Consider the following 21,498-nt stretch of genomic DNA (forward strand, 5'->3'; position numbering starts at 1 on the left):
TTTGAAGGTTTCGTTGGAAACGGGAATATCTTCATATAAAATCTAGACGGAAGCATTCTCAGAAACTTCTCTGTGATGTTTGCATTCAACTCATAGAGTTGAACACTTCCCTTCATACAGCAGGTTTGAAACACTCTTTTTGTAATATTTGGAAGTGGACATTTGCAGCGCTTTGAGGCCTATGATGAAAAAGGTAATATCTTCCCATAAAAACTAGACAGAAGCATTCTCAGAAACTTGTTTGTGATGTGTGTATTCAACTAACAGAGATGAACCTTTCTTTTTACAGAGCAGTTTTGAAACACTCTTTTTGTGGAATCTGAAAGTGGATATTTGGATAGCTTTGAGGATTTCGTTGGAAACGGGATTACATATAAAACCTAGAGAGAAGCATTCTCAGGAACTTCTTTGTGATGTTTGCATTCAAGTCACAGAACTGAACATTCCCTTTCATAGAGCATGTTTGAAACACTCTTTCTGTAGTATCTGCAAGCGGACGTTTCAAGCGCTTTCAGGCCTATGGTGAGAAAGGAAATATCTTCAAGTAAAAACTAGACAGAAGCATTCTCAGAAACTTATTTGCGATGTGTGTTCTCAACTAACAGAGTTGAACCTTTGTTTTGATATGGCATTTTGGAAACACTCTTTTTGTAGAATCTGCAGGTGGATATTCGGATAGCTTTGAAGGTTTCGTTGGAAACGGGAATATCTTCATATAAAATCTAGACGGAAGCATTCTCAGAAAGTGCTTTGTGATGTTTGCATTCAAGTCACAGAGTTGAATATTCCCTTTTGTAGAGCAGGTTTGAAACACTCTTTCTGCACTACCTGGAAGTGGACATTTGGAGCGCTTTGAGGCCTATGTTGAAAAAGGAAATATCTTCCCATAAAAACTAGACAGAAGCATTCTCAGAAACTTGTTTGTGATGTGTGTATTCAACTAACAGAGATGAACCTTTCTTTTTACAGAGCAGTTTTGAAACACTCTTTTTGTGGAATCTGAAAGTGGATATTTGGATAGCTTTGAGGATTTCGTTGGAAACGGGATTACATATAAAATCTAGAGAGAGGAAGCATTCTCAGGAACTTCTTTGTGATGTTTGCATTCACGTCACAGAACTGAACATTCCCTTTCATAGAGCATGTTTGAAACACTCTTTCTGTAGTATCTGCAAACGGACATTTCAAACGCTTTCAGGCCTATGGTGAGAAAGGAAATATCTTCAAATAAAAACTAGACAGAAGCATTCTCAGAAACTTATTTGCGATGTGTGTCCTCAACTAACAGAGTTGAACCTTTGTTTTGATACAACATTTTGGAAACACTCTTTTTGTAGAATCTGCAAGTGGATATTTGGATAGCTTTGAAGGTTTCGTTGGAAACGGGAATATCTTCATATAAAATCAAGACAGAAGCATTCTCAGAAACTGCTTTGTGATGTTTTCATTCAAGTCACAGAGTAGAATGTTCCCTGTTATATACCAGGTTTGAGACACTCTTTCTGCACTACCTGGAAGTGGACGTTTGGAGCGCTTTGAGGCCTATGTTGAAAAAGGAAATATCTTCCCATAAAAACTAGACAGAAGCATTCTCAGAAACTTGTTTGTGAATGTGTGTATTCAACTAACAGAGATGAACCTTTCTTTTTACAGAGCAGTTTTGAAACACTCTTTTTGTGGAATCTGAAAGTGGATATTTGGATAGCTTTGCGGATTTCGTTGGAAACGGGATTACATATAAAATCTAGGGAGAAGCATTCTCAGGAACTTCTTTGTGATGTTTGCATTCAAGTCACAGAACTGAACATTCCCTTTCATAGAGCAGGTTTGAAACACTCTTTCTGTAGTATCTGCAAGCGGACGTTTTAAGCGCTTTCAGGCCTGTGGTGAGAAAGGAAATATCTTCAAATAAAAACTAGACAGAAGCATTCTCAGAAACTTATTTGCGATGTGTGTCCTCAACTAACAGAGTTGAACCTTTCTTTTGATACAACATTTTGGAAACACTCTTTTTGTGGAATCTGCAAGTGGATATTTGGATAGCTTTGAAGGTTTCGTTGGAAACGGGAATATCTTCATATAAAATCAAGACAGAAGCATTCTCAGAAACTTCTCTGTGATGTTTGCATTCAACTCATAGAGTTGAACACTTCCCTTCATACAGCAGGTTTGAAACACTCTTTTTCTAATATTTGGAAGTGGACTTTTGCAGCGCTTTGAAGCCTATAATGAAAAAGGTAATATCTTCCCATAAAAACTAGACAGAAGCATTCTCAGAAACTTGTTTGTGATGTGTGTATTCAACTAACAGAGATGAACCTTTCTTTTTACAGAGCAGTTTTGAAACACTCTTTTTGTGGAATCTGAAAGTGGATATTTGGATAGCTTTGAGGATTTCGTTGGAAACGGGATTACATATAAAATCTAGAGAGAAGCATTCTCAGAAACTTCTCTGTGATGTTTGCATTCAACTCATAGAGTTGAACACTTCCTTTCATAGAGCTGGTTTGAAATACTCTTTTTGTAATATTTGGAAGTGGACATTGGCAGCGCTTTGAAGCCTATGGTGAAAAAGGAGATATCTTCTCCTAAAAACCAGACAGAACCATTCTCAGAAACTTATTTGAGATGTGTGTTCTCAACTAACAGAGTTGAACCTTTCTTTTGATACAACATTTTGGAACCACTCTTTTTGTAGAATCTGCAGGTGGATATTCGGATAGCTTTGAAGGTTTCGTTGGAAACGGGAATATCTTCATATAAAATCTAGACGGAAGCATTCTCAGAAAGTGCTTTGTGATGTTTGCATTCAAGTCACAGAGTTGAATATTCCCTTTTATAGAGCAGGTTTGAAACACTCTTTCTGCACTACCTGGAAGTGGACATTTGGAGCGCTTTGAGGCCTATGTTGAAAAAGGAAATATCTTCCCATAAAAACTAGACAGAAGCATTCTCAGAAACTTGTTTGTGATGTGTGTATTCAACTAACAGAGATGAACCTTTCTTTTTACAGAGCAGTTTGGAAACACTCTTTTTGTGGAATCTGAAAGTGGATATTTGGATAGCTTTGAGGATTTCGTTGGAAACGGGATTACATATAAAATCTAGAGAGAAGCATTCTCAGGAACTTCTTTGTGATGTTTGCATTCAAGTCACAGAACTGAACATTCCCTTTCATAGAGCAGGTTTGAAACACTCTTTCTGTAGTATCTGCAAGTGGACGTTTCAAGCGCTTTCAGGCCTGTGGTGAAAAAGGAAATATCTTCAAATAAAAACTAGACAGAAGCATTCTCAGAAACTTCTTTGTGCTGTATGTCCTCAATTAACAGAGTTGAACCTTTGTGTGGATACAGCATTTTGGAAACACTCCTTTAGTAGGATATGCAAGTTGATATTTAGATAGCTAGGAAGATTTCCTTGGAAACGGGAATATCTTCATATAAAATCTAGACGGAAGCATTCTCAGAAAGTGCTTTGTGATGTTTGCATTCAAGTCACACAGTTGAATATTCCCTTTTATAGAGCAGGTTTGAAACACTCTTTCTGCACTACCTGGAAGTGGACATTTGGAGCGCTTTGAGGCCTATGTTGAAAAAGGAAATATCTTCCCATAAAAACTAGACAGAAGCATTCTCAGAAACTTGTTTGTGATGTGTGTATTCAACTAACAGAGATGAACCTTTCTTTTTACAGAGCAGTTTTGAAACACTCTTTTTGTGGAATCTGAAAGTGGATATTTGGATAGCTTTGAGGATTTCGTTGGAAACGGGATTACATATAAAACCTAGAGAGAAGCATTCTCAGGAACTTCTTTGTGATGTTTGCATTCAAGTCACAGAACTGAACATTCCCTTTCATAGAGCAGGTTTGAAACACTCTTTCTGTAGTATCTGCAAGCTGACGTTTCAAGCGCTTTCAGGCCTATGGTGAGAAAGGAAATATCTTCAAGTAAAAACTAGACAGAAGCATTCTCAGAAACTTATTTGCCATGTGTGTTCTCAACTAACAGAGTTGAACCTTTGTTTTGATACGGCATTTTGGAAACACTCTTTTTGTAGAATCTGCAGGTGGATATTCGGATAGCTTTGAAGGTTTCGTTGGAAACGGGAATATCTTCATATAAAATCTAGACGGAAGCATTCTCAGAAACTGCTTTGTGATGTTTTCATTGAAGTCACAGAGTAGAATGTTCCCTTTTATATACCAGGTTTGAGACACTCTTTCTGCACTATCTGGAAGTGGACATTTGGAGCGCTTTGAGGCCTATGATGAAAAAGGAAATATCTTCCCATAAAAACTAGACAGAAGCATTCTCAGAAACTTGTTTGTGATGTGTGTATTCAACTAACAGAGATGAACCTTTCTTTTTACAGAGCAGTTTTGAAACACTCTTTTTGTGGAATCTGAAAGTGGATATTTGGATAGCTTTGAGGATTTCGTTGGAAACGGGATTACATATAAAACCTAGAGAGAAGCATTCTCAGGAACTTCTTTGTGATGTTTGCATTCAAGTCACAGAACTGAACATTCCCTTTCATAGAGCAGGTTTGAAACACTCTTTCTGTAGTATCTGCAAGCGGACGTTTTAAGCGCTTTCAGGCCTGTGGTGAGAAAGGAAATATCTTCAAATAAAAACTAGACAGAAGCATTCTCAGAAACTTATTTGCGATGTGTGTCCTCAACTAACAGAGTTGAACCTTTCTTTTGATACAACATTTTGGAAACACTCTTTTTGTAGAATCTGCAAGTGGATATTTGGATAGCTTTGAAGGTTTCGTTGGAAACGGGAATATCTTCATATGAAATCAAGACAGAAGCATTCTCAGAAAGTGCTTTGTGATGTTTGCATTCAAGTCACAGAGTTGAATATTCCCTTTTATAGAGCAGGTTTGAAACACTCTTTCTGCACTACCTGGAAGTGGACATTTGGAGCGCTTTGAGGCCTATGTTGAAAAAGGAAATATCTTCCCATAAAAACTAGACAGAAGCATTCTCAGAAACTTGTTTGTGATGTGTGTATTCAACTAACAGAGATGAACCTTTCTTTTTACAGAGCAGTTTTGAAACACTCTTTTTGTGGAATCTGAAAGTGGATATTTGGATAGCTTTGCGGATTTCGTTGGAAACGGGATTACATATAAAATCTAGGGAGAAGCATTCTCAGGAACTTCTTTGTGATGTTTGCATTCACGTCACAGAACTGAACATTCCCTTTCATAGAGCATGTTTGAAACACTCTTTCTGTAGTATCTGCAAACGGACATTTCAAACGCTTTCAGGCCCATGGTGAGAAAGGAAATATCTTCAAGTAAAAACTAGACAGAAGCATTCTCAGAAACTTATTTGCCATGTGTGTTCTCAACTAACAGAGTTGAACCTTTGTTTTGATACGGCATTTTGGAAACACTCTTTTTGTAGAATCTGCAGGTGGATATTCGGATAGTTTTGAAGGTTTCGTTGGAAACGGGAATATCTTCATATAAAATCTAGACGGAAGCATTCTCAGAAACTGCTTTGTGATGTTTTCATTCAAGTCACAGAGTAGAATGTTCCCTGTTATATACCAGGTTTGAGACACTCTTTCTGCACTACCTGGAAGTGGACGTTTGGAGCGCTTTGAGGCCTGTGTTGAAAAAGGAAATATCTTCCCATAAAAACTAGACAGAAGCATTCTCAGAAACTTGTTTGTGATGTGTGTATTCAACTAACAGAGATGAACCTTTCTTTTTACAGAGCAGTTTTGAAACACTCTTTTTGTGGAATCTGAAAGTGGATATTTGGATAGCTTTGAGGATTTCGTTGGAAACGGGATTACATATAAAACCTAGAGAGAAGCATTCTCAGGAACTTCTTTGTGATGTTTGCATTCACGTCACAGAACTGAACATTCCCTTTCATAGAGCATGTTTGAAACACTCTTTCTGTAGTATCTGCAAACGGACATTTCAAACGCTTTCAGGCCTATGGTGAGAAAGGAAATATCTTCAAATAAAAACTAGACAGAAGCATTCTCAGAAACTTGTTTGCGATGTGTTTCCTCAACTAACAGAGTTGAACCTTTCTTTTGATACAACATTTTGGAAACACTCTTTTTGTAGAATCTGCAAGTGGATATTTGGATAGCTTTGAAGGTTTCTTTGGAAACGGGAATATCTTCATATAAAATCAAGACAGAAGCATTCTCAGAAAGTGCTTTGTGATGTTTGCATTCAAGTCACAGAGTTGAGTATTCCCTTTTATAGAGCAGGTTTGAAACACTCTTTCTGCACTACCTGGAAGTGGACATTTGGAGCGCTTTGAGGCCTATGTTGAAAAAGGAAATATCTTCCCATAAAAACTAGACAGAAGCATTCTCAGAAACTTGTTTGTGATGTGTGTATTCAACTAACAGAGATGAACCTTTCTTTTTACAGAGCAGTTTTGAAACACTCTTTTTGTGGAATCTGAAAGTGGATATTTGGATAGCTTTGAGGATTTCGTTGGAAACGGGATTACATATAAAACCTAGAGAGAAGCATTCTCAGGAACTTCTTTGTGATGTTTGCATTCACGTCACAGAACTGAACATTCCCTTTCATAGAGCAGGTTTGAAACACTCTTTCTGTAGTATCTGCAAGCTGACGTTTCAAGCGCTTTCAGGCCTATGGTGAGAAAGGAAATATCTTCAAGTAAAAACTAGACAGAAGCATTCTCAGAAACTTATTTGCGATGTGTGTCCTCAACTAACAGAGTTGAACCTTTCTTTTGATACAACATTTTGGAAACACTCTTTTTGTAGAATCTGCAAGTGGATATTTGAATAGCTTTGAAGGTTTCGTTGGAAACGGGAATATCTTCATATAAAATCAAGACAGAAGCATTCTCAGAAACTGCTTTGTGATGTTTTCATTCAAGTCACAGAGTAGAATGTTCCCTGTTACATACCAGGTTTGAGACACTCTTTCTGCACTACCTGGAAGTGGACGTTTGGAGCGCTTTGAGGCCTATGTTGAAAAAGGAAATATCTTCCCATAAAAACTAGACAGAAGCATTCTCAGAAACTTGTTTGTGATGTGTGTATTCAACTAACAGAGATGAACCTTTCTTTTTACAGAGCAGTTTTGAAACACTCTTTTTGTGGAATCTGAAAGTGGATATTTGGATAGCTTTGAGGATTTCGTTGGAAACGGGATTACATATAAAATCTAGAGAGAAGCATTCTCAGGAACTTCTTTGTGATGTTTGCATTCAAGTCACAGAACTGAACATTCCCTTTCATAGAGCAGGTTTGAAACACTCTTTCTGTAGTATCTGCAAGCGGACGTTTTAAGCGCTTTCAGGCCTGTGGTGAGAAAGGAAATATCTTCAAATAAAAACTAGACAGAAGCATTCTCAGAAACTTATTTGCGATGTGTGTTCTCAACTAACAGAGTTGAACCTTTGTTTTGATATGGCATTTTGGAAACACTCTTTTTGTAGAATCTGCAGGTGGATATTCGGATAGCTTTGAACGTTTCGTTGGAAACGGGAATATCTTCATATAAAATCTAGACGGAAGCATTCTCAGAAAGTGCTTTGTGATGTTTGCATTCAAGTCACAGAGTTGAATATTCCCTTTTATAGAGCAGGTTTGAAACACTCTTTCTGCACTACCTGGAAGTGGACATTTGGAGCGCTTTGAGGCCTATGTTGAAAAAGGAAATATCTTCCCATAAAAACTAGACAGAAGCATTCTCAGAAACTTGTTTGTGATGTGTGTATTCAACTAACAGAGATGAACCTTTCTTTTTACAGAGCAGTTTTGAAACACTCTTTTTGTGGAATCTGAAAGTGGATATTTGGATAGCTTTGAGGATTTCGTTGGAAACGGGATTACATATAAAACCTAGAGAGAAGCATTCTCAGGAACTTCTTTGTGATGTTTTCATTCAAGTCACAGAACTGAACATTCCCTTTCATAGAGCAGGTTTGAAACACTCTTTCTGTAGTATCTGCAAGCTGACGTTTCAAGCGCTTTCAGGCCTATGGTGAGAAAGGAAATATCTTCAAGTAAAAACTAGACAGAAGCATTCTCAGAAACTTCTTTGCGATGTGTGTTCTCAACTAACAGAGTTGAACCTTTGTTTTGATATGGCATTTTGGAAACACTCTTTTTGTAGAATCTGCAGGTGGATATTCGGATAGCTTTGAAGGTTTCGTTGGAAACGGGAATATCTTCATATAAAATCTAGACGGAAGCATTCTCAGAAACTGCTTTGTGATGTTTTCATTCAAGTCACAGAGTAGAATGTTCCCTGTTATATACCAGGTTTGAGACACTCTTTCTGCACTACCTGGAAGTGGACATTTGCAGCGCTTTGAGGCCTATGATGAAAAAGGAAATATCTTCCCATAAAAACTAGACAGAAGCATTCTCAGAAACTTGTTTGTGATGTGTGTATTCAACTAACAGAGATGAACCTTTCTTTTTACAGAGCAGTTTTGAAACACTCTTTTTGTGGAATCTGAAAGTGGATATTTGGATAGCTTTGCGGATTTCGTTGGAAACGGGATTACATATAAAATCTAGGGAGAAGCATTCTCAGGAACTTCTTCGTGATGTTTGCATTCAAGTCACAGAACTGAACATTCCCTTTCATAGTGCAGGTTTGAAACACTCTTTCTGTAGTATCTGCAAGCTGACGTTTCAAGCGCTTTCAGGCCTGTGGTGAAAAAGGAAATATCTTCAAATAAAAACTAGACAGAAGCATTCTCAGAAACTTATTTGCCATGTGTGTTCTCAACTAACAGAGTTGAACCTTTGTTTTGATACGGCATTTTGGAAACACTCTTTTTGTAGAATCTGCAGGTGGATATTCGGATAGCTTTGAAGGTTTCGTTGGAAACGGGAATATCTTCATATAAAATCTAGACGGAAGCATTCTCAGAAAGTGCTTTGTGATGTTTGCATTCAAGTCACAGAGTTGAATATTCCCTTTTATAGAGCAGGTCTGAAACACTCTTTCTGCACTACCTGGAAGTGGACATTTGGAACGCTTTGAGGCCTATGTTGAAAAAGGAAATATCTTCCCATAAAAACTAGACAGAAGCATTCTCAGAAACTTGTTTGTGATGTGTGTATTCAACTAACAGAGATGAATCTTTCTTTTTACAGAGCAGTTTTGAAACACTTTTTTTGTGGAATCTGAAAGTGGTTATTTGGATAGCTTTGAGGATTTCGTTGGAAACGGGATTACATATAAAACCTAGAGAGAAGCATTCTCAGGAACTTCTTTGTGATGTTTGCATTCAAGTCACAGAACTGAACATTCCCTTTCATAGAGCAGGTTTGAAACACTCTTTCTGTAGTATCTGCAAGCTGACGTTTCATGCGCTTTCAGGCCTATGGTGAGAAAGGAAATATCTTCAAGTAAAAACTAGACAGAAGCATTCTCAGAAACTTATTTGCGATGTGTGTTCTCAGCTAACAGAGTTGAACCTTTGTTTTGATACAGCATTTTGGAAACACTCTTTTTGTAGGATCTGCAGGTGGATATTTGGATAGCTTTGAAGGTTTCTTTGGAAACGGGAATATCTTCATATAAAATCAAGACAGAAGCATTCTCAGAAAGTGCTTTGTGATGTTTGCATTCAAGTCACAGAGTTGAATATTCCCTTTTATAGAGCAGGTCTGAAACACTCTTTCTGCACTACCTGGAAGTGGACATTTGGAACGCTTTGAGGCCTATGTTGAAAAAGGAAATATCTTCCCATAAAAACTAGACAGAAGCATTCTCAGAAACTTGTTTGTGATGTGTGTATTCAACTAACAGAGATGAACCTTTCTTTTTACAGAGCAGTTTTGAAACACTCCTTTTGTGGAATCTGAAAGTGGATATTTGGATAGCTTTGAGGATTTCATTGGAAACGGGATTACATATAAAACCTAGAGAGAAGCATTCTCAGGAACTTCTTTGTGATGTTTGCATTCAAGTCACAGAACTGAACATTCCCTTTCATAGAGCAGGTTTGAAACACTCTTTCTGTAGTATCTGCAAGCTGACGTTTCAAGCGCTTTCAGGCCTATGGTGAGAAAGGAAATATCTTCAAGTAAAAACTAGACAGAAGCATTCTCAGAAACTTATTTGCGATGTGTGTCCTCAACTAACAGAGTTGAAACTTTCTTTTGATACAACATTTTGGAAACACTCTTTTTGTAGAATCTGCAAGTGGATATTTGGATAGCTTTGAAGGTTTCGTTGGAAACGGGAATATCTTCATATGAAATCAAGACAGAAGCATTCTCAGAAACTTCTCTGTGATGTTTGCATTCAACTCATAGAGTTGAACACTTCCCTTCATAGAGCAGGTTTGAAACACTCTTTTTGTAATATTTGGAAGTGGACATTTGCAGCGCTTTGAGGCCTATGTTGAAAAAGGAAATATCTTCTCCTAAAAACCAGACAGGAAGCATTCTCAGAAACTTGTTTGTGATGTGTGTATTCAACTAACAGAGATGAACCTTTCTTTTTACAGAGCAGTTTTGAAACACTCTTTTTGTGGAATCTGAAAGTGGATATTTGGATAGCTTTGAGGATTTCGTTGGAAACGGGATTACATATAAAACCTAGAGAGAAGCATTCTCAGGAACTTCTTTGTGATGTTTGCATTCAAGTCACAGAACTTAACATTCCCTGTCATAGAGCATGTTTGAAACACTCTTTCTGTAGTATCTGCAAGCGGACGTTTCAAGCGCTTTCAGGCCTATGGTGAGAAAGGAAATATCTTCAAGTAAAAACTAGACAGAAGCATTCTCAGAAACTTATTTGCGGTGTGTGTTCTCAACTAAAAGAGTTGAACCTTTGTTTGGATACAACATTTCGGAAACACTCTTTTTGTAGAATCTGTAAGTGGATATTTGGATAGCTTTGAAGGTTTCGTTGGAAACGGGAATATCTTCATATAAAATCAAGACAGAAAGCATTCTCAGAAACTGCTTTGTGATGTTTTTATTCAAGTCACAGAGTAGAATGTTCCCTTTTATATACCAGGTTTGAGACACTCTTTCTGCACTATCTGGAAGTGGACATTTGGAGCGCTTTGAGGCCTATGATGAAAAAGGAAATATCTTCCCATAAAAACTAGACAGAAGCATTCTCAGAAACTTGTTTGTGATGTGTGTATTCAACTAACAGAGATGAACCTTTCTTTTTACAGAGCAGTTTTGAAACACTCTTTTTGTGGAATCTGAAAGTGGATATTTGGATAGCTTTGAGGATTTCGTTGGAAACGGGATTACATATAAAATCTAGAGAGAAGCATTCTCAGGAACTTCTTTGTGATGTTTGCATTCACGTCACAGAACTGAACATTCCCTTTCATAGAGCATGTTTGAAACACTCTTTCTGTAGTATCTGCAAACGGACATTTCAAACGCTTTCAGGCCTATGGTGAGAAAGGAAATATCTTCAAGTGAAAACTAGACAGAAGCATTCTCAGAAACTTCTTTGTGCTGTATGTCCTCAATTAACAGAGTTGAACCTTTGTGTGGATACAGCATTTTGGAAACATTCCTTTAGTAGAATCTGCAAGTTGATATTTAGATAGCTAGGAAGATTTCCTTGGAAAAGGGAATATCTTCATATAAAATCTAGACGGAAGCATTCTCAGAAAGTGCTTTGTGATGTTTGCATTCAAGTCACAGAGTTGAATATTCCGTTTTATAGAGCAGGTTTGAAACACTCTTTCTGCACTACGTGGAAGTGGACATTTGGAGCGCTTTGAGGCCTATGTTGAAAAAGGAAATATCTTCCCATAAAAACTAGACAGAAGAATTCTCAGAAACTTGTTTGTGATGTGTGTATTCAACTAACAGAGATGAACCTTTCTTTCTACAGAGCAGTTTTGAAACACTCTTTTTGTGGAATCTGAAAGTGGATATTTGGATAGCTTTGAGGATTTCGTTGGAAACGGGATTACATATAAAATCTAGAGAGAAGCATTCTCAGGAACTTCTTTGTGATGTTTGCCTTCAAGTCACAGGACTGAACATTCCCTTTCATAGAGCAGGTTTGAAACACTCTTTCTGTAGTATCTGCAAGCTGACGTTTCAAGCGCTTTCAGGCCTATGGTGAGAAAGGAAATATCTTCAAGTAAAAACTAGACAGAAGCATTCTCAGAAACTTATTTGCGATGTGTGTCCTCAACTAACAGAGTTGAACCTTTCTTTTGATACAACATTTTGGAAACACTCTTTTTGTGGAATCTGCAAGTGGATATTTGGATAGCTTTGAAGATTTCGTTGGAAACGGGAATATCTTCATATAAAATCAAGACAGAAGCATTCTCAGAAAGTGCTTTGTGATGTTTGCATTCAAGTCACAGAGTTGAATATTCCCTTTTATAGAGCAGGTTTGAAACACTCTTTCTGCACTACCTGGAAGTGGACATTTGGAGCGCTTTGAGGCCTATGTTGAAAAAGGAAATATCTTCCCATAAAAACTAGACAGAAGCATTCTCAGAAACTTGTTTGTGATGTGTGTATTCAACTAACAGAGATGAACCTTTCTTTTTAGAGAACAGTTTTGAAACACTCTTTTTGTGGAATCTTAAAGTGGATATTTGGATAGCTTTGAGGATTTCGTTGGAAACGGGATTACATATAAAATCTAGAGAGAAGCATTCTCAGGAACTTCTTTGTGATGTTTGCATTCACGTCACAGAACTGAACATTCCCTTTCATAGAGCATGTTTGAAACACTCTTTCTGTAGTATCTGCAAACGGACATTTCAAGCGCTTTCAGGCCTATGGTAAGAAAGGAAATATCTTCAAATAAAAACTAGACAGAAGCATTCTCAGAAACTTATTTGCGATGTGTGTCCTCAACTAACAGAGTTGAACCTTTCTTTTGATACAACATTTTGGAAACACTCTTTTTGTAGAATCTGCAAGTGGATATTTGAATAGCTTTGAAGGTTTCGTTGGAAACGGGAATATCTTCATATAAAATCAAGACAGAAGCATTCTCAGAAACTGCTTTGTGATGTCTTCATTCAAGTCACAGAGCAGAATGTTCCCTTTTATAGAGCAGGTTTGAAACACTCAGTGCACTACCTGGAAGTGGACATTTGGAGCGCTTTGAGGCCTATGTTGAAAAAGGAAATATCTTCCCATAGAAACTAGACAGAAGCATTCTCAGAAACTTGTTTGTGATGTGTGTATTCAACTAACAGAGATGAACCTTTCTTTTTACAGAGCAGTTTTGAAACACTCTTTTTGTGGAATCTGAAAGTGGATATTTGGATAGCTTTGAGGATTTCGTTGGAAACGGGATTACATATAAAATCTAGAGAGAAGCATTCTCAGGAACTTCTTTGTGATGTTTGCCTTCAAGTCACAGGACTGAACATTCCCTTTCATAGAGCAGGTTTGAAACACTCTTTCTGTAGTATCTGCAAGCTGACGTTTCAAGCGCTTTCAGGCCTATGGTGACAAAGGAAATATCTTCAAGTAAAAACTAGACAGAAGCATTCTCAGAAACTTCTTTGTGCTGTATGTCCTCAATTAACAGAGTTGAACCTTTGTGTGGATACAGCATTTTGGAAACATTCCTTTAGTAGAATCTGCAAGTTGATATTTAGATAGCTAGGAAGATTTCCTTGGAAACGGGAATATCTTCATATAAAATCTAGACGGAAGCATTCTCAGGAACTTCTTTGTGATGTTTGCATTCAAGTCACAGAACTGAACATTCCCTTTCATAGAGCAGGTTTGAAACACTCTTTCTGTAGTATCTGCAAGTGGACGTTTCAAGCGCTTTCAGGCCTGTGGAGAAAAAGGAAATATCTTCAAATAAAAAGTAGACAGAAGCATTCTCAGAAACTTATTTGCGATGTGTGTTCTCAACTAACAGAGTTGAACCTTTGTTTTGATACAGCATTTTGGAAACACTCTTTTTGTAGGATCTGCAGGTGGATATTTGGATAGCTTTGAAGTTTTCGTTGGAAACGGGAATATCTTCATATAAAATCAACACAGAAGCCTTCTCAGAAACTTCTCTGTGATGTTTGCATTCAACTCATAGAGTTGAACACTTCCTTTCATAGAGCTGGTTTGAAATACTCTTTTTGTAATATTTGGAAGTGGACATTGGCAGCGCTTTGAAGCCTATGGTGAAAAAGGAGATATCTTCTCCTAAAAACCAGACAGAAGCATTCTCAGAAACTTATTTGCGATGTGTGTCCTCAACTAACAGAGTTGAACCTTTGTTTTGATACAATATTTTGGAAACACTCTTTTTGTAGAATCTGCAAGTGGAGATTTGGATAGCTTTGAAGGTTTCGTTGGAAACGGGAATATCTTCATATAAAATCAAGACAGAAGCATTCTCAGAAACTGCTTTGTGATGTTTTCATTGAAGTCACAGAGTAGAATATTCCCTTTTATAGAGCAGGTTTGAAACACTCTTTCTGCACTACCTGGAAGTGGACATTTGGAGGGCTTTGAGGCCTATGTTGAAAAAGGAAATATCTTCCCATAAAAACTAGACAGAAGCATTCTCAGAAACTTGTTTGTGATGTGTGTATTCAACTAACAGAGATGAACCTTTCTTTTTACAGAGCAGTTTTGAAACACTCTTTTTGTGGAATCTGAAAGTGGATATTTGGATAGCTTTGAGGATTTCGTTGGAAACGGGATTACATATAAAACCTAGAGAGAAGCATTCTCAGGAACTTCTTTGTGATGTTTGCATTCAAGTCACAGAACTGAACATTCCCTTTCATAGAGCAGGTTTGAAACACTCTTTCTGTAGTATCTGCAAGCGGACGTTTTAAGCGCTTTCAGGCCTGTGGTGAGAAAGGAAATATCTTCAAATAAAAACTAGACAGAAGCATTCTCAGAAACTTATTTGCGATGTGTGTCCTCAACTAACAGAGTTGAACCTTTCTTTTGATACAACATTTTGGAAACACTCTTTTTGTAGAATCTGCAAGTGGATATTTGAATAGCTTTGAAGGTTTCGTTGGAAACGGGAATATCTTCATATAAAATCAAGACAGAAGCATTCTCAGAAACTTCTCTGTGATGTTTGCATTCAACTCATAGAGTTGAACACTTCCCTTCATACAGCAGGTTTGAAACACTCTTTTTGTAATATTTGGAAGTGGACATTTGCAGCGCTTTGAGGCCTATGTTGAAAAAGGAAATATCTTCTCCTAAAAACCAGACAGAAGCATTCTCAGAAACTTATTTGCGATGTGTGTTCTCAACTAACAGAGTTGAACCTTTGTTTTGATACAGCATTTTGGAAACACTCTTTTTGTAGGATCTGCAGGTGGATATTTGGATAGCTATGAAGGTTTCGTTGGAAACGGGAATATCTTCATATAAAATCAACACAGAAGCATTCTCAGAAACTTCTCTGTGATGTTTGCATTCAACTCATAGAGTTGAACACTTCCTTTCATAGAGCTGGTTTGAAATACTCTTTTTGTAATATTTGGAAGTGGACACTGGCAGCGCTTTGAAGCCTATGGTGAAAAAGGAGATATCTTCTCGTAAAAACCAGACAGAAGCATTCTCAGAATCTTTCTTGTGATGTGTGTACTCAAGTAACAGAGTTGAACCTTCCTTTTGACAGAGCAGTTTTGAAGCACTCTTTTTGTAGAATCTGCAAGTGGATATTTTGATACCTTTGAGGATTTCTTTGGACACGGGATATCTTCATATAAAATCTAGACAGAAGCATTCTCAGAAACTTCTTTGTGCTGTATGTCCTCAATTAACAGAGTTGAACCTTTGTTTCGATACAGCCTTTTGGAAACATTCCTTTAGTAGAATCTACAAGTTGATATTTAGATAGCTAGGAAGATTTCCTTGGAAACGGGAATATCTTCATATAAAATCTAGACGGAAGCATTCTCAGAAACTTATTTGCCATGTGTGTTCTCAACTAACAGAGTTGAACCTTTGTTTTGATACGGCATTTTGGAAACACTCTTTTTGTAGAATCTGCAGGTGGATATTCGGATAGCTTTGAAGGTTTCGTAGGAAACGGGAATATCTTCATATAAAATCTAGACGGAAGCATTCTCAGAAACTTCTCTGTGATGTTTGCATTCAACTCATAGAGTTGAACACTTCCCTTCATACAGCAGGTTTGAAACACTCTTTTTGTAATATTTGGAAGTGGACATTTGCAGCGCTTTGAGGCCTATGATGAAAAAGGTAATATCTTCCCATAAAAACTAGACAGAAGCATTCTCAGAAACTTGTTTGTGATGTGTGTATTCAACTAACAGAGATGAACCTTTCTTTTTACAGAGCAGTTTTGAAACACTCTTTTTGTGGAATCTGAAAGTGGATATTTGGATAGCTTTGAGGATTTCGTTGGAAACGGGATTACATATAAAACCTAGAGAGAAGCATTCTCAGGAACTTCTTTGTGATGTTTGCATTCAAGTCACAGAACTGAACATTCCCTTTCATAGAGCAGGTTTGAAACACTCTTTCTGTAGTATCTGCAAGCTGACGTTTCAAGCGCTTTCAGGCCTATGGTGAGAAAGGAAATATCTTCAAGTAAAAACTAGACAGAAGCATTCTCAGAAACTTATTTGCGATGTGTGTCCTCAACTAACAGAGTTGAACCTTTCTTTTGATACAACATTTTGGAAACACTCTTTTTGTAGAATCTGCAAGTGGATATTTGAATAGCTTTGAAGGTTTCGTTGGAAACGGGAATATCTTCATATAAAATCAAGACAGAAGCATTCTCAGAAACTGCTTTGTGATGTTTTCATTCAAGTCACAGAGTAGAATGTTCCCTGTTATATACCAGGTTTGAGACACTCTTTCTGCACTACCTGGAAGTGGACATTTGCAGCGCTTTGAGGCCTATGATGAAAAAGGAAATATCTTCCCATAAAAACTAGACAGAAGTTATCTCAGAAACTTGTTTGTGATGTGTGTATTCAACTAACAGAGATGAACCTTTCTTTTTACAGAGCAGTTTCGAAACACTCTTTTTGTGGAATCTGAAAGTGGATATTTGGATAGCTTTGAGGATTTCGTTGGAAACGGGATGACATATAAAATCTAGGGAGAAGCATTCTCAGGAACTTCTTTGTGATGTTTGCATTCAAGTCACAGAACTGAACATTCCCTTTCATAGAGTAGGATTGAAACACTCTTTCTGTAGTATCTGCAAGCGGACGTTTCAAGCGCTTTCAGGCCTGTGGTGAAAAAGGAAATATCTTCAAATAAAAACTAGACAGAAGCATTCTCAGAAACTTATTTGCGATGTGTGTCCTCAACTAACAGAGTTGAACCTTTCTTTTGATACAACATTTTGGAAACACTCTTTTTGTAGAATCTGCAAGTGGATATTTGGATAGCTTTGAAGGTTTCGTTGGAAAAGGGAATATCTTCATATGAAATCAAGACAGAAGCATTCTCAGCAAAGTGCTTTGTGATGTTTGCATTCAAGTCACAGAGTTGAATATTCCCTTTTATAGAGCAGGTTTGAAACACTCTTTCTGCACTACCTGGAGGTGGACATTTAGAGCGCTTTGAGGCCTATGTTGAAAAAGGAAATATCTTCCCATAAAAACTAGACAGAAGCATTCTCAGAAACTTGTTTGTGATGTGTGTATTCAACTAACAGAGATGAACCTTTCTTTTTACAGAGCAGTTTTGAAACACTCTTTTTGTGGAATCTGAAAGTGGATATTTGGATAGCTTTGAGGATTTCGTTGGAAACGGGATTACATATAAAACCTAGAGAGAAGCATTCTCAGGAACTTCTTTGTGATGTTTGCATTCAAGTAACAGAACTGAACATTCCCTTTCATAGAGCCGGTTTGAAACACTCTTTCTGTAGTATCTGCAAGCTGACGTTTCAAGCGCTTTCAGGCCTATGGTGAGAAAGGAAATATCTTCAAGTAAAAACTAGACAGAAGCATTCTCAGAAACTTATTTGCCATGTGTGTTCTCAACTAACAGAGTTGAACCTTTGTTTTGATACGGCATTTTGGAAACACTCTTTTTGTAGAATCTGCAGGTGGATATTCGGATAGCTTTGAAGGTTTCGTTGGAAACGGGAATATCTTCATATAAAATCTAGACGGAAGCATTCTCAGAAACTTCTCTGTGATGTTTGCATTCAACTCATAGAGTTGAACACTTCCCTTCATACAGCAGGTTTGAAACACTCTTTTTGTAATATTTGGAAGTGGACATTTGCAGCGCTTTGAGGCCTATGATGAAAAAGGTAATATCTTCCCATAAAAACTAGACAGAAGCATTCTCAGAAACTTGTTTGTGATGTGTGTATTCAACTAACAGAGATGAACCTTTCTTTTTACAGAGCAGTTTTGAAACACTCTTTTTGTGGAATCTGAAAGTGGATATTTGGATAGCTTTGCGGATTTCGTTGGAAACGGGATTACATATAAAATCTAGGGAGAAGCATTCTCAGGAACTTCTTTGTGATGTTTGCATTCACGTCACAGAACTGAACATTCCCTTTCATAGAGCATGTTTGAAACACTCTTTCTGTAGTATCTGCAAACGGACATTTCAAGCGCTTTCAGGCCTATGGTAAGAAAGGAAATTTCTTCAAATAAAAACTAGACAGAAGCATTCTCAGAAACTTCTTTGTGCTGTATGTCCTCAATTAACAGAGTTGAACCTTTGTGTGGATACAGCATTTTGGAAACATTCCTTTAGTAGAATCTGCAAGTTGATATTTAGATAGCTAGGAAGATTTCCTTGGAAACGGGAATATCTTCATATAAAATCTAGACGGAAGCATTCTCAGAAACTTCTCTGTGATGTTTGCATTCAACTCATAGAGTTGAACACTTCCCTTCATACAGCAGGTTTGAAACACTCTTTTTGTAATATTTGGAAGTGGACATTTGCAGCGCTTTGAGGCCTATGATGAAAAAGGTAATATCTTCCCATAAAAACTAGACAGAAGCATTCTCAGAAACTTGTTTGTGATGTGTGTATTCAACTAACAGAGATGAACCTTTCTTTTTACAGAGCAGTTTTGAAACACTCTTTTTGTGGAATCTGAAAGTGGATATTTGGATAGCTTTGAGGATTTCGTTGGAAACGGGATTACATATAAAACCTAGAGAGAAGCATTCTCAGGAACTTCTTTGTGATGTTTGCATTCACGTCACAGAACTGAACATTCCCTTTCATAGAGCATGTTTGAAACACTCTTTCTGTAGTATCTGCAAACGGATATTTCAAGCGCTTTCAGGCCTATGGTGAGAAAGGAAATATCTTCAAATAAAAACTAGACAGAAGCATTCTCAGCAAACTTCTTTGTACTGTATGTCCTCAATTAACAGAGTTGAACCTTTGTGTGGATACAGCATTTTGGAAACATTCCTTTAGTAGAATCTGCAAGTTGATATTTAGATAGCTAGGAAGATTTCCTTGGAAACGGGAATATCTTCATATAAAATCTAGACGGAAGCATTCTCAGAAACTGCTTTGTGATGTTTTCATTGAAGTCACAGAGTAGAATGTTCCCTTTTATATACCAGGTTTGAGACACTCTTTCTGCACTATCTGGAAGTGGACATTTGGAGCGCTTTGAGGCCTATGATGAAAAAGGAAATATCTTCCCATAAAAACTAGACAGAAGCATTCTCAGAAACTTGTTTGTGATGTGTGTATTCAACTAACAGAGATGAACCTTTCTTTTTACAGAGCAGTTTTGAAACACTCTTTTTGTGGAATCTGAAAGTGGATATTTGGATAGGTTTGAGGATTTCGTTGGAAACGGGATTACATATAAAACCTAGAGAGAAGCATTCTCAGGAACTTCTTTGTGATGTTTGCATTCAAGTCACAGAACTGAACATTCCCTTTCATAGAGCATGTTTGAAACACTCTTTCTGTAGTATCTGCAAGCGGACGTTTCAAGCGCTTTCAGGCCTATGGTGAGAAAGGAAATATCTTCAAGTAAAAACTAGACAGAAGCATTCTCAGAAACTTATTTGCCATGTGTGTTCTCAACTAACAGAGTTGAACCTTTGTTTTGATACGGCATTTTGGAAACACTCTTTTTGTAGAATCTGCAGGTGGATATTCGGATAGCTTTGAAGGTTTCGTTGGAAACGGGAATATCTTCATATAAAATCTAGACGGAAGCATTCTCAGAAAGTGCTTTGTGATGTTTGCATTCAAGTCACAGAGTTGAATATTCCCTTTTATAGAGCAGGTTTGAAACACTCTTTCTGCACTACCTGGAATTGGACATTTGGAGCGCTTTGAGGCCTATGTTGAAAAAGGAAATATCTTCCCATAAAAACTAGACAGAAGCATTCTCAGAAACTTGTTTGTGATGTGTGTATTCAACTAACAGAGATGAACCTTTCTTTTTACAGAGCAGTTTTGAAACACTCTTTTTGTGGAATCTGAAAGTGGATATTTGGATAGCTTTGAGGATTTCGTTGGAAACGGGATTACATATAAAATCTAGAGAGAAGCATTCTCAGGAACTTCTTTGTGATGTTTGCATTCACGTCACAGAACTGAACATTCCCTTTCATAGAGCATGTTTGAAACACTCTTTCTGTAGTATCTGCAAACGGACATTTCAAACGCTTTCAGGCCTATGGTGAGAAAGGAAATATCTTCAAATAAAAACTAGACAGAAGCATTCTCAGAAACTTATTTGCGATGTGTGTCCTCAACTAACAGAGTTGAACCTTTCTTTTGATACAACATTTTGGAAACACTCTTTTTGTAGAATCTGCAAGTGGATATTTGGATAGCTTTGAAGGTTTCGTTGGAAACGGGAATATCTTCATATGAAATCAAGACAGAAGCATTCTCAGAAACTGCTTTGTGATGTTTTCATTCAAGTCACAGAGTAGAATGTTCCCTGTTATATACCAGGTTTGAGACACTCTTTCTGCACTACCTGGAAGTGGACATTTGCAGCGCTTTGAGGCCTATGATGAAAAAGGAAATATCTTCCCATAAAAACTAGACAGAAGCATTCTCAGAAACTTGTTTGTGATGTGTGTATTCAACTAACAGAGATGAACCTTTCTTTTTACAGAGCAGTTTTGAAACACTCTTTTTGTGGAATCTGAAAGTGGATATTTGGATAGCTTTGAGGATTTCGTTGGAAACGGGATTACATATAAAACCTAGAGAGAAGCATTCTCAGGAACTTCTTTGTGATGTTTGCATTCAAGTCACAGAACTGAACATTCCCTTTCATAGAGCATGTTTGAAACACTCTTTCTGTAGTATCTGCAAGCGGACGTTTTAAGCGCTTTCAGGCCTGTGGTGAGAAAGGAAATATCTTCAAATAAAAACTAGACAGAAGCATTCTCAGAAACTTATTTGCGATGTGTGTCCTCAACTAACAGAGTTGAACCTTTCTTTTGATACAACATTTTGGAAACACTCTTTTTGTAGAATCTGCAAGTGGATATTTGAATAGCTTTGAAGGTTTCGTTGGAAACGGGAATATCTTCATATAAAATCAAGACAGAAGCATTCTCAGA

The 21,498-nt window shown here is 37.3% G+C and overlaps 1 annotated feature.

Moving 5' to 3' along the window:
• Window positions 1–21,498: part of a centromere (Linear centromere model derived predominantly from reads generated in PMID: 17803354. This region does not represent an actual centromere sequence, as long-range ordering of repeats and unmapped WGS contigs is not provided by the model. For details of model production, see http://arxiv.org/abs/1307.0035.) that runs on past both edges of the window.

This window comes from Homo sapiens, chromosome 9 (assembly GCF_000001405.40).
Source record: "Homo sapiens chromosome 9, GRCh38.p14 Primary Assembly".
Taxonomy (NCBI): domain Eukaryota; kingdom Metazoa; phylum Chordata; class Mammalia; order Primates; family Hominidae; genus Homo; species Homo sapiens.